A 12556-nucleotide genomic window follows, 5' to 3' on the forward strand; every position below is an offset into this window, starting at 1 on the left:
GTTGCGAGTGACAGAAATGTACTCAAGCTACAGGACCAAAGGGGCATTTATCCTCATATAACTGGTTGGAGAAGGAGGGTTGTCCAAGGAGTAAACCTCACTTAGGCTGGGTTTAGGGATTCAAATAGTGTCATGAGGATATTCCTCTCACTTTCTTTGGTTATTTCTTATGCTTTCCACAGAGTTGGCTTCCTTCCCAGGCAATCTCTTCCCATGTTGTGGAAAAGACGTCAGGCCAGTAGCAGACAGTGCTAGGTTCAGGCTTCCAATATTCTTACACCAACTTTCCCAGTGAAAAGAAAAAAAAGAAGCCACTTTTTCAACCACTCAAATGAAATTCCAGGGAGGATTCTGTTGCCTTGGTATCCCTACACCTCTTATACCAACATGGCCAGAGAGATGGGGTTCTCTGATAGCTAGAGACTGGCTCATCTAACTACCCTGAGTTGAATTTCTCACAAGGAAGAACTGTTCAGTTAGCAGAAGGAAAGTGAAAGAAAGTGTAAAGGGAAGCCAGAAATTTTATCTTGCTTAGAAGTTAAAGAGTATGCACATGAAGGTAAATATTTGAAATAGGAATTTTGGGCTAATATGGAAGGACGTGTCTTCATTAGAGTTTAATATTAGCAAACAAATAACATACCCAATTGTTTCAGCAGAAAATCACTCTGTACACTGAGTTTGGAGGTCCTCATTCTTGTAGGTTTTGCATATAATCACACTCTGTTTATTTCCCCTGAAGTTAATGGAAACAGAAATGTACATCATCATTATGACACCTGCAGGTAGTTTCTATAATACACATTATTGATGAAATTTTCTAAAGCTGCTTTTATATCTTAAAGCTGCATACAAAGATGACTCTGACAACAATGGAAATAAAAATCGCTTTAAAGCAATCTCATGTGGTAACATCTATTGTTTTGCTATAATGGGATTCTGTTAATGTCAATATATTTCTGAAAATCTTCTCAGTTCCCATGATCAAAAGAAAATAGAAGAGAACTATAGTCCCCTAGTAGCTAATTAGCACATAAAAAATTGTATTTGAGAACAGAAGGAGAGAAAGGGATGTGCTATTTTCTTACCATTTCAGTTCCTTTGAGTTCTGCAGACTTGGGTATTAGACACATAACTAGATTAACATCAATTTGTACCACTCTGATTTTTAATGTTTCTGCAAAATTTATTAATAAAAATATTATTTTACATATGCATATTCTTAATATGGTACATTGTTTATATATGTGTATACACACACGTGCATGTGTGCACACACACACATATGTTTGTGATGCACATGTTGAATGCTATCACACATTCTCAGCCCAGGAGAGCTAGTGCAGCAGGACAACTGCATGCTTTAGGCCAGTGAGCATTTGTATACTGTGCTGCAAATGTTCTCAGCCAAATACTACTGTCTGGACACCAAGCAGAGAGAATTCTCTGATGCATTATTTTTTCACTGCCACTCTCTGTCATTTATTTTGTTCTTTGAAAAATGTCCCTGACCTCAATTGCCAATACATAAGGAAATAAAATAAAATGTAAATGTAAATTGATAGTGCAGTTCTGTCCAAAGATGCAAAAGAAAGGTTTGACTGAGGCTTAAGGTAACTTGAAAGAGATAATTTAGTCTACTCAGGATAAAAGGTAGTGATCAATTAGTGATTGATGGAAGTCATTTGGCATTATTAAGGAAATCATAAGCATCATTATAAATTGGTGAATAGAATAACAATTATTTGCAAGGTATAAGAAAGAAATGACAGAGGTATGTTGTGATTTCAGAGTATTTGGAGAGCATAAAAATGATATTTCTAAAACCTAGAAGATACCACCATGAGAAAACGAGTGATGCTGTAGCATTGAATCAGGTACTGCCGAGAAATTATCCTCCTTATCAGCCCCAAACAGTTTGTTCCTATTTAATTAGATGAAATTGCTCTTCAGAGTTTCGAGAATGAAAGAATATGGGAAATCAAGGAACGATTATTTCTATATGCCAGAATATAAAACTACAATTTGAAATATATTTTCTTGCTATAGCATAACATATTTAATGCTTTATATAATTACTAAGTGTATAAATAATTTTTGTGAACCACTTGATCTTTTCAAAACATTAAAGCAGAATTTCTTTTACAAAGATGCTGTTTGTAATGCATTGTTAAAAATGAGAATTTGCCTCATTTTTCTTTTTCTTTTTAAAGTAGATTTGCCTAATTATTCTTTTCTTTTTAAGGTAGACCCGTTAGAGAAGCTCTGCTGAAAGCAAAGTAAACCTATACATGACCTTTTTAATAATAGTATTAATTATAATCACACTCTGTCTTGATTTAATGCAGTGCCAGAAATTCTTTCCAGTGGCAGCAAAAGAGAAAACAAAACCAGAAACTCTTAGTTGGAGGAAACTCTTAGTTTCCTTTTCCTACTTCCAATTTGTATGAAAAGGAAGTATCACTGTATTATAATTTTATTATTTATACTTAATCAAACACAACTGAAAGTTCTAATTATTATTTATCTTAATGATTCATGAAATTATATTGGAAGAGTTCCTATAATATGTACAGAATATTCCCAAGCTGTGCAAAATAATTACCGTTGATGAAAGAGCCACAGTGAAACGGTATTTCACAAGTGTTTGGAGTTATTCTCACCAGGGGCAGGCTGTGGATCATTGGCATTAACTAATGATGACCTGAGATCAAAGACAGAACCCTATGGAACTCCAGCTTTCAAGGTAGCATAATAAGTCTGAAATGTCGAATGAAATCTTCTACAAATGAAATTTGAAGTACAATAATGGCCCATCAAAACTGTCAAGCTAGCTCTCCAACTGATAGACACACACAAACACACACACACGCACACACACTCACACCCCACATGATTGATGATTTAAAAGCTCTAGGCTAGGAAAGTGAAATAGTTGCAGACAAATGACCAAAAGCAAATTTTTAAGTCCAGTTACAAAAAAGCAAATGTAACCAAGTCTATCATGCACTGCAGCATACCTCATGCCATGCCAAGAATACACAAAATGACCTTTCCAGAAAAGAAAACAAAATATAAGACAAAAGCAAGATTGATGAACAAAATCCTGCACTACCTCTAAACAGCAGTGTTAATCAAGCAACTATAATTGTCCTGTTAACTTATATCAGCTTGCTTTTAAAGCTCTAAATTCTTAGTCTTTAGAGTAGACCATGCTACTACTGAATGTGTAAAAGCACAAAGGTACAAATTTGGCATCCAGCAGAAAACAACAAGTTGTAAGAGCATACAAAGCTTCTGTGATGGCAAATCACTGATTATGTAAAATTAATTAGTATAATTCTGATCAGAACAATTATTTCTCTGTAACAGTTCGTTGGAATTAATAATAATAGGACAAAAAATTCTTAACTCATGTCTTCAACTGTTACTGCAAGCATTAAAAATAGAGCTGTGAAATCTTCGTGAAGCCTGTGAGTTGAGCACACACTGCTTTACTTCTGAGAGAGAGAGAAGGCAAAAAGACAAGCTTATAGAAGATATTTAATTAAAGTCAGAAAGAACATTAAAATAGAAAAATTAGCTCAGTGAAAAGTATCTTTTCATTTCCACTAAATCAGAAACAATTTAAAGACTGCAATGGAAACTGGAAGTAAAAGAAAAAAAAAGCCCTCTTTAATTGGTTTGGAATTTTCTATTGTACTTCTGGAGTTCTGACTGGGTACACTATTGAACCTACTTGTTTTAATTATTCATTTATTTGTTCTTTTATTCATGTAGTCATTCATTTATTGATTGACATATTCTCTTATCCATTCATTCATCTATTCATTTATGTAACATTCTCTGCTGTTCGTTAGGTACCGCGCTATATGTTGAACATGCAAAATGTATATGGCATGATATCTGCTCTTGAAGTACTTAAAGTGACAGACAAGCATGTAAATCAGTATGTATAGTAAAATATGGTGCCATTTAATATGCTGAAGTGGGGTACAGAAGTATTTAAATCTACCTGTGCTAGTGGGGTAGATATGCTCAAGGAAGCTTTTAGGAAGAGATGTTATTTGAGCTGTTCTTTACGATGGCTTAAAATTTACCAGGAATCTACAACATCTATACTTAAACAGGAAGAATATTTCAAGAAACATTGACATTTGCAGATAATTAGAAATGACAAATTTGAGGCTTATTTTCTATTATGTTTCACATAATTACATATTTCAAGTAATAGGTAGTCAGCTTTATATGTAATGAACAAGTGGAACAGCAAATGGAATAATTATTAGGGAAATAGTTATTATATTTAAGATTATGTCAGTCTTGACCACAAGGCCAAAACTATGAATGAGGTAGGTTACTAAAAGGGCACTAAGCTTCCCTTCATAGTTATTTAATAATTACTAAGCAGAATGTGTTAAATGAGAGGGTCACAGTCTCTGGCTTATTAATACAACCATGATAGGTTTATTTCTTGTAAGTATGCTCAGCACACTCAACTGGGGCCATAACTTTGACTGGAAGTCCTGAGAAGAGGGCTTTCTGCCAGAGGAAATTTTGGAAGTTAACAGTGACCTATGAGATGTCACTATGTGGTAATAATGGGGATAGAATGAAATTGAATACATAGGAGAAATGTTTCTGTTAAAGACAGAAAAATTACTCAAAATTCAGAGGCACTGGGAAAATGTTAAATTAGATACTTGACCATTACTCTTCAGACTTAATATAGAGAAGGATCTTAAGGGCTTAAAATATTTTATTTTTCTGGTTCATTGAGTACTTTTACTTATTATTGTCATTATTATTATTATTATTATTATTATTATTATTATTATGGGAGTGGCAGTAATAGTAGTAGTACCCAGTAGAGGCTTAACCAATAGATACATTTTATTGCTGAACTACATTATTATTAATATATTATTTGGTTTACATTGTTATTTAAGGGCATTTTGCAAATGTCATCTCAAGAAAAAGAAGTGAAGGATAGACTGGAGGTAAAACCGGAAAGGATGAGAAACCAAACAAGGCTGGGTTATTAAATTGTTTACTCTAATAAACAATATTGCTTGTTCCTTTGGCACCTTGTGAGAAGCCTTAGGAAATGTGCCTCAGAACTTTTGACTCAGGGAGAGAAAAGTTGGAAATGTTTATTTATTGGTCCTTATTGTTCATTGCTCAATAATGGCATTGTACATTTTTGGGTGGGGTACATGTGTGAGCACAGAGTGGGTTCCCATGGGCATCTCATACTATAATCCATAGGATCCCAGGAGCAAAGAGTAACACAGGTGGTGCAGGCCTGAGTCAAGGCTGAGGGCACCTGGGCAGAATGGTTGAAGCCTATGCAGGACTGATGATGACAATAATAGCTGGAGTGGCCAACAAACATCTGAAAAAATACTCATCATCCCTAGTCATCAGAGAAATGCAAATCAAAACCACAATAAAATCTCATCTCACACCAGTCGGAATGGCTATTATTAAAACGTCAAAAAATAACAGATGTTGGTGAGGTTGCAGAGAAAAGGGAACATTTATACACTGTTGGTGGGAATGTAAATTAGTTCATCCTCTGTGAAAAGCAGTTTGAAAATATCTCAAAGAACTAAAAATAGAACTATCATTTGACCAAGCAATCCCATTACTGGGTATATATCCGAAGGAATATAAACCATTCTATCAAAAAGACACACGCACTTGTATGTTCATTGCAGCACTATTTCACAATAGCAAAGACAGGATCACCCTGGGTGCCCATCAACAGTGGATTGGATAAAGAAAGTGTGGTACATATACACCATGGAATACTGTATCACCATAAAAAGGAGCAAAATCAGGTCGCTTACAACAACATGGATGAAGCTGGAAGCCATTATCCTAAGGGAATTAATGCAGAAACAGAAAATCAAATATCACATGTTGTCACTTATAAGTAGGAACTAAAACTTGGGTACACATGGATGTGAAGATAGGAACAACAGACACGAGGGGCTCTGAAAACAGGGAGAGAAGGAGGGGGACAAGGGCTGCAAGACTTCCTGTTGTTACTATGTTCACTGTCTCAGTGATGGGATCAATAAACAGTCAAACCTCAGCATTGCAGTATACCCGTGTAGCAAACCTGCACATGTATCCCCTGAATCTAAAATAAAAAATAAAATTTACAAAAGTGGGGCACAAGAGGCGCCTAACATAAATGCTGTGTGCTCTTTAACATAGAAGGAGACTTGTTTAGAAAAGCGAAAGGGGCAATTTTATAAATGCTGCAAAACATTGTTTTCAGTGAAATCTGAAATAGCAGATAAATATGGCGAAGCTCTAAACTTTGACTATGTCCCATCATATTCAATAAATTCCAATCACCACTTCTGCCTCCTTCAAATCCTTCCTAATGGAGAAAGCCCAAATTATTTAATGTATACCAGCATTTCTCAAACATTTGGTCTCAGGACTCCTTTATACACTTTAAAATCATTGAAGATACCAAAGTGCTCCCCCACCATAAATGTAACTTAAATATATTCATATTTGTCATATTAAGAATTAGCGTAAATTTTAAATAGTCTTAATACATTTAAAATAAAAGCATATTGCATGTTAACAACAGCAATATTTTTATGAAAAATAACTATATTTCCCAAAACAAAAAAGTAGTGAAGACTCACATTGTTCTACTTTTTTTTTTACAAATCTCTTTAATGTCTGGCTTTATAGAAGACTTGCTTTCTCATATCTGCCCCACAGGCATTCAATCTGCTGAGATATCACGTGCCACATATCCTCTAGAAAACTCCACTCTACCCTCACGATAGAATGAAAGTGAAAGGGAAAAATGAGATCTTAATATTATTAAAATCGTTTTGTCCTTGCAGACCTCCTGGAATGGTCTCAGGAGCTCCCAGAGGTTTCTGGATGACACTCTGAGAACCGCTGGTTTGTTTGTTTGTTTGTTTATATTATACTTTTTAGAGACAGGTTCTTGCTCTGTTGCCCAGGCTGGAGTGCAGTGGTGCAATCATAGCTCACTGCAGCCTTGAACTCCTGGGCTTAAGTCATCCTCCCAACTCAGCCTCCTGAGCAGCTGTGACTACAGGTGTGTTCCACCATGCCCAGCTAATTTTTAAAATTCTTTTTGTAAAGACAGAGTCTCACTATGTTGCCCAGGTAGGTCTTGAACTCTGGTCTCAAGGGATCCTCCCACCTCAGCCTCCCAAAGTGCTGGGATTACAGACATGAGCCATTGCACCCGTCAGAGAACTGCTGGTTTCTATATGTTCATGCAGCCCAATCTACCTCTGTAATTTGATTCCCTGATATTTCATAAGTAAGTCTTATGCCCCATGCCATAGTGAGCATCACCATTGCTCCAAATACAGCCTCTAGACTCCCTGCATGCAAGCTTTCCACCCACCTTTCCCTCCTCCTTCCCCTGCCACTATCTTCCCTTATGCTATTGATGTTTGTCCAAATCCTTTCAATCACCCTTAGGAAACCTTCCCAAATTCACTTATTTCTACTTCTATTGAGTGAGTATCATTTTTTTTCCTTGCATAATAGGTATTTATTTGTGTTTTGCCTCCTTGGCAACTTTCCTCTAAAGCCTCCATATCCTGTAGCTTATGCTTGTGTGTAGTAGGTTGGTCAAAAAAATAGCTATTGAAAATATGTTATTACTTTTTACTCTGCTATATGCTTGTTTTACAGTTTATTGTATATGAACCAATACACCTTATCATTTCCTCATCTATGCATTTCAATACTAATTAATTTTTTATTGGGGAGTGATACTTCAGAAACCTGTAAGAAAAGACTCAAATATATGGGTCCATCAGTCCTGACAAGTGTGTAGCGGATTACACATCTTGTTTGCTTTTAGCTCATCATTATTGTTTTATGCAACTTAGACTAGACTTTTTGTTTTTGACAGGAAGTAAGTTAGAACTAGGAAAGTTAACCTAATGGATGCAAAGACAATAATTGTAGTCTGCAATTAGTGACTAAATATCATTCACTGATTGTCACATAAGATTGATCTTGGGTTTTTGCAGGAGACTGATATTGTTGAACTTGTGAATGAAATATTCATTGTTCTCCCGTTCATGAACAATATGGCCAAAACTCTAATAAACTTTTTCAGATAATTACTACTTAGCACAGACCAGGGGCTATCTGGCAACATAGATTTTCAAGCTTTCCTTATTTGTTTTTGAATAACTGAAGAAAAATAGCTAAATTTGAAGGGAATACCACTTCATTGTCTCATAATTCAGAGGTTGCCAAATCATGACCATTGAAGTGCTTATATCTATATAATTTATTATTTTCTTCTTTCTTATGCATAAGTCCTGCAACCTTAGATATAGTCATAATAATATAGATAGACAAGTGTACTTGCTTATTTTGTTCCTGTCTGGCCAAGTTAGTTCAGCATTAAAATTGAAATGCCCGTTGATCAAGAACTAGCCAAACTAAAACACTTGGCGTACTTAAATGCAATGAGCTTGGAAGTGCTCGTATTTTCCACAAGCGATTTTCACTGCCTGTACACTAATCCTCTTTGCACTCAATTTACAGAGAATGTACACTTCAGGGAATCTGTATACTAATTAATTTCAAAGCCTAATGCACGGCTAAGGAATATATCTTTAAAATATCTAGATTAGCTAGATTAAATGACAATTCAATAGCAAAGGAACTTCTAAATTCCATTTAAATGTCAGATTAACAAGATGTAAATTCATCTGTAGAGAAAAGCCTTTACTTACTTCAGCTACACAAATAGTGACAGCTAAGAAAAGATACCTCAGTGTTTTGGTCAATATGCTTGTTTATATAGTTGCAAACATATGATGCTACTATAGCTTAGATAGTTGAATCTCGTCACATCATTTTATGAAACCTCCTCTCTCAAAATACTCATAGATTCCCAAATGGGATTATTTACTAATTTAAAAATGCCTCAAATTTCCAATGCACGTGTTATGAAAAGCAGGGCTTTTTTTTTGTGGCTAGGACCATCAGCTGAGAGAAATATAAGCACTACTCCATTGCTTCTGATCTTCAATAAACTAACACCTATTTTTGTCTCACTCTGTGACTACAACTTTTTGCTTTTTTTGTTTACTCTCTCTAGTAAGCCATCTCCTATAATTCCTATAATCCAAGGAGCTTAATACAACCTTTGATCCATTTATCCAATGCCTTTCACTGTTCCTTACCCTTGTATCCCTTCCTCCTCACCTAGATTTAATACCATGGTCAATCATTATTATTTCCTTGCATATACCATCAACTCCTTTGTCCCTCTCTTACTTGGTTTTGCTCTCTTGGCTAAATTGCTGCCTGGTTAGATCCAGCTCTTTGCTTTCTTTCTGCTTGCCCTTGCACAACTGACATACACATATGTCTCAATTTAAATTCATAATAATTTATCTTTAAGAGGCCCTTAAAGCTTTGCAGTAATCATACTGTATTGCCAAGTCATTTTCCATTCCTACTCTCTTGAATAACTATTTCTTATCTTCTTTCACTTCAATTTTTCTAATACTTTCTCCATCCCCCATACTCTCAGATCTTACCTTGGAATTCACTGGGAACATAAAACTGTCAGAAAAGAACTTCCATCAAGCTAGCTACCCATCTATCATATCTATGCCCATATTTTCTACCTTTCTTTCCCCTGAGCTTTATTGAGATATAATTGACAAACACAGGTTGTACATATTTAAGGTGTAGAATGTGATAATTTGATATATGCATACATTGTGAAATGATCACCACAAGCAAACTAATTAGTTCATTCATCTCTTTTGCTCCTACAGATGAGATGCTTGTGCTCTTGCTAAGACCACGTACTCTTGTGCACTAGATACTGGTCTCTTGTCTACTCAAGTACAATTCTTTCCTCTCCTACTTATCCTCAGATTTTCCTCTCTGTTGTATCCTTCCTATTAGCATACAAACATATGGTACTTTTCCCATTTGAAAAGAACCTGTGCTTGATTGCAGTTTTATCTCCAGCAAATGCACTCTTTTACTCCCACAATTAACTGCAAAGCTCTTCAAAAGAGTTTTCCAATCTTGCTTCTTCCTTTATCTCTCTTGAACCTCCGATCTGCATTTTTTCCCACATAACTCTACTGAAAGTACTTAATCAAGGTTACTAGTGTCTGTGTTGCTAAATCTAATGACCAATTCTCACTTTTTGTTTTATTTTATCCGTCAATAGCAATTGACTTAGTAAATGACTCTCTCCTTGAAATGCTTAACCTTTCTTTCTCTTAGTTCTCTCATCTTACTAGCTGTTCATTCTCAGTCTTCTTTGCTGGGTTTCCAGAGCTTTGTCCCTGGACTTTTCTCCCCTATCTATACTTGTTTTATTATTATTATTATTTCATTCAGTCTCACTGTTTTAAATCGTATCTGTACCCACTATTCCAAAATGGGTATCTCCATTATTATACTACTGCTTTTGAAATGTAACTGCTCAGTATTGCTTGCTGATGAGTTACCAGTATTTAAACATAAGGTGATTACTTTTTACTCTCTCCCTTCTACATAGGATTACATAGCTCAGAGTCACTATTGTTAATGCATTGTTTCTTCCACATCTAAACTCTAAGACACTGAGGATTCCTTTTTATCTTTCCCTGGAAATCTGACTCAGAAGAGAAAGAGATCATGGTGGGAAAGAACAGAAAGAGCAAAGAGAAAGACATGAAAGGAACCTCTTGGTTAAGTTTAGAAACTGGATAATTGCACTGGTAAAAGAGAAGAGATGTTTAACGTTTTATTTTTAACCAACAATTTTAAATATTTACAATAACTAGGGAGAACAGAAAATCCACAGAAGATTCTAAGAAGATATAAAGTATTACAAAGTCATGACATTTCATCATCACTAAACATATTCTTGAAGATAGGTTTGCCAAATACAAATGGAGTAGAGATTACTTGATTATGATAAAATGCTCATAGCTGTAATTCATTTATATATTTAAAAACTAATAAAAATCTATATTTTCTATTCTTATGAGAAATATATATTACTTCACTTTTCCATATACTGCATAGCTAGTATCAGGGTCTTTGGAGAGTTTTATGACAGTTCGAAGGCTTTAACTCCTTTCTGAGGTGAGGGGATTTACTTTGAGATTTAGTCAGTGAATAGACCCATCTTGTAGGCTGCATCCCTCTCCCATTTTGCTCTGCTTGTAATGACAAGTTGAATGGCTCTTGCCTCCTGTTATAGGCAACCATTCATGCAACCTCTGAGCCTGTCTGGGGCTTTCCCTGCTATCTTCACTAGTCTAAACACCTCATCAGTACTGTTGATCCAGCACCAGTGCTAATTCTACTTCTGTAGCCTTAGTCAATTCTACTGCTACATTTGTCAAGGTGCCATTCATGCTGTCATCAGATTCTTCCAGGTGTATATCAAATTCCTGTAAGCCATGACACAGGGGTCCCCACCAAACCTTTTCTATTCTCTTCACTATTGCCCTTCTGTAAGAAAAGGCTGAAACTGGTAAATAATTGATTTGCCCAAAACAAGCCCTTGATACCATTCTCAAAATTTTCAGCCTGAGACAAAAGGTGACCCTAAAAGAAGCAAAAATTATTATTTGGTAACTTTTTAAATACTGGACATTTTGGACAAATGTGGTGGCTTATGCCTTTAATTCCAGCACTTTGGGAGGCTAAGGCAGGAGGAACACTTGAGCCCAGGAGTTCAAGACCAGCCTGGGCAACATAGCAAGACCCTTTTTCTAAAAATAAAGAAAAAAAATTAAAAAATTAACCAAGAGTGATGGCACCTGCCTGTAGTCCCAGCTACTCAAGAGACTGAGGCAGGAGGATTGCCTGAGCCCAGGAAGTGGAGCCTATAGTGCTCTCTGCTCATGCCACTCCACTCCAGCCTGGGCAACAGAGTGAGACCCTGTCTCAATGAAAAATAAAAAAAATAAAAAAAACTAGAAGTTTTGTGTCAACTCCTCTTACTACTGCAGTAAATTCTTTCCTGTAATTCTGCTTTCTTCTATGATTGTTTTTGGCTCATAACCAACTTTCCTTTGACAAATAGACATTATCTGATTTCATTCCTTCAAGTGTCCCACTATCTGGAGAGTTTCTGGACATCAGATTTGTTGAACATAAACAGAAAAATATTTTGGCAGGCTGGGAAGATAATAGAAAGTATTGAGTTTAGGTTCAAGGAAATCTAGTTATATTCTAGCTGTATTGTTTACTAGTTGCAAATATTTTAACAAACTTTTAAGCTTCTTTGACATTTTAATTTAGTAGCCACAAATCCCCCAAAAAGTGGGTATTAAGTCTAATTATGTAGACTTATCTTGTAAGACTCACATAAAAATCATATAGTGGATATTGGCAAATGGTAATCTTCATGATTACTTTTATTTTGAAACAAAGTGAGGTGATATAACAATAATAAAAGTAGAATTAATTATTTTATTCTAAATTATTGTTGTGCCTTTAGAAAATAGGTATGTGCCTTCATTAAGACTTGGCTCTTGAGTGTTTCCCAGTG

The 12556-nt window shown here is 35.5% G+C and overlaps 1 long non-coding RNA gene across 1 annotated transcript in view; it reads right to left on the reverse strand.

The window, feature by feature from the left end:
• LINC02466 (long intergenic non-protein coding RNA 2466) overlaps window positions 1-12556 on the reverse strand; it is a 47308-nt gene that overhangs the window by 24814 nt on the left and 9938 nt on the right. Inside the window, exon 2 of the long non-coding RNA NR_110753.1 lies at window positions 644-736. This is a non-coding gene — a long non-coding RNA (long intergenic non-protein coding RNA 2466). The remainder of the gene's footprint in view (window positions 1-643; window positions 737-12556) is intronic.

Source organism: Homo sapiens, chromosome 4 (assembly GCF_000001405.40).
Source record: "Homo sapiens chromosome 4, GRCh38.p14 Primary Assembly".
Taxonomy (NCBI): Eukaryota; Metazoa; Chordata; class Mammalia; order Primates; family Hominidae; genus Homo; species Homo sapiens.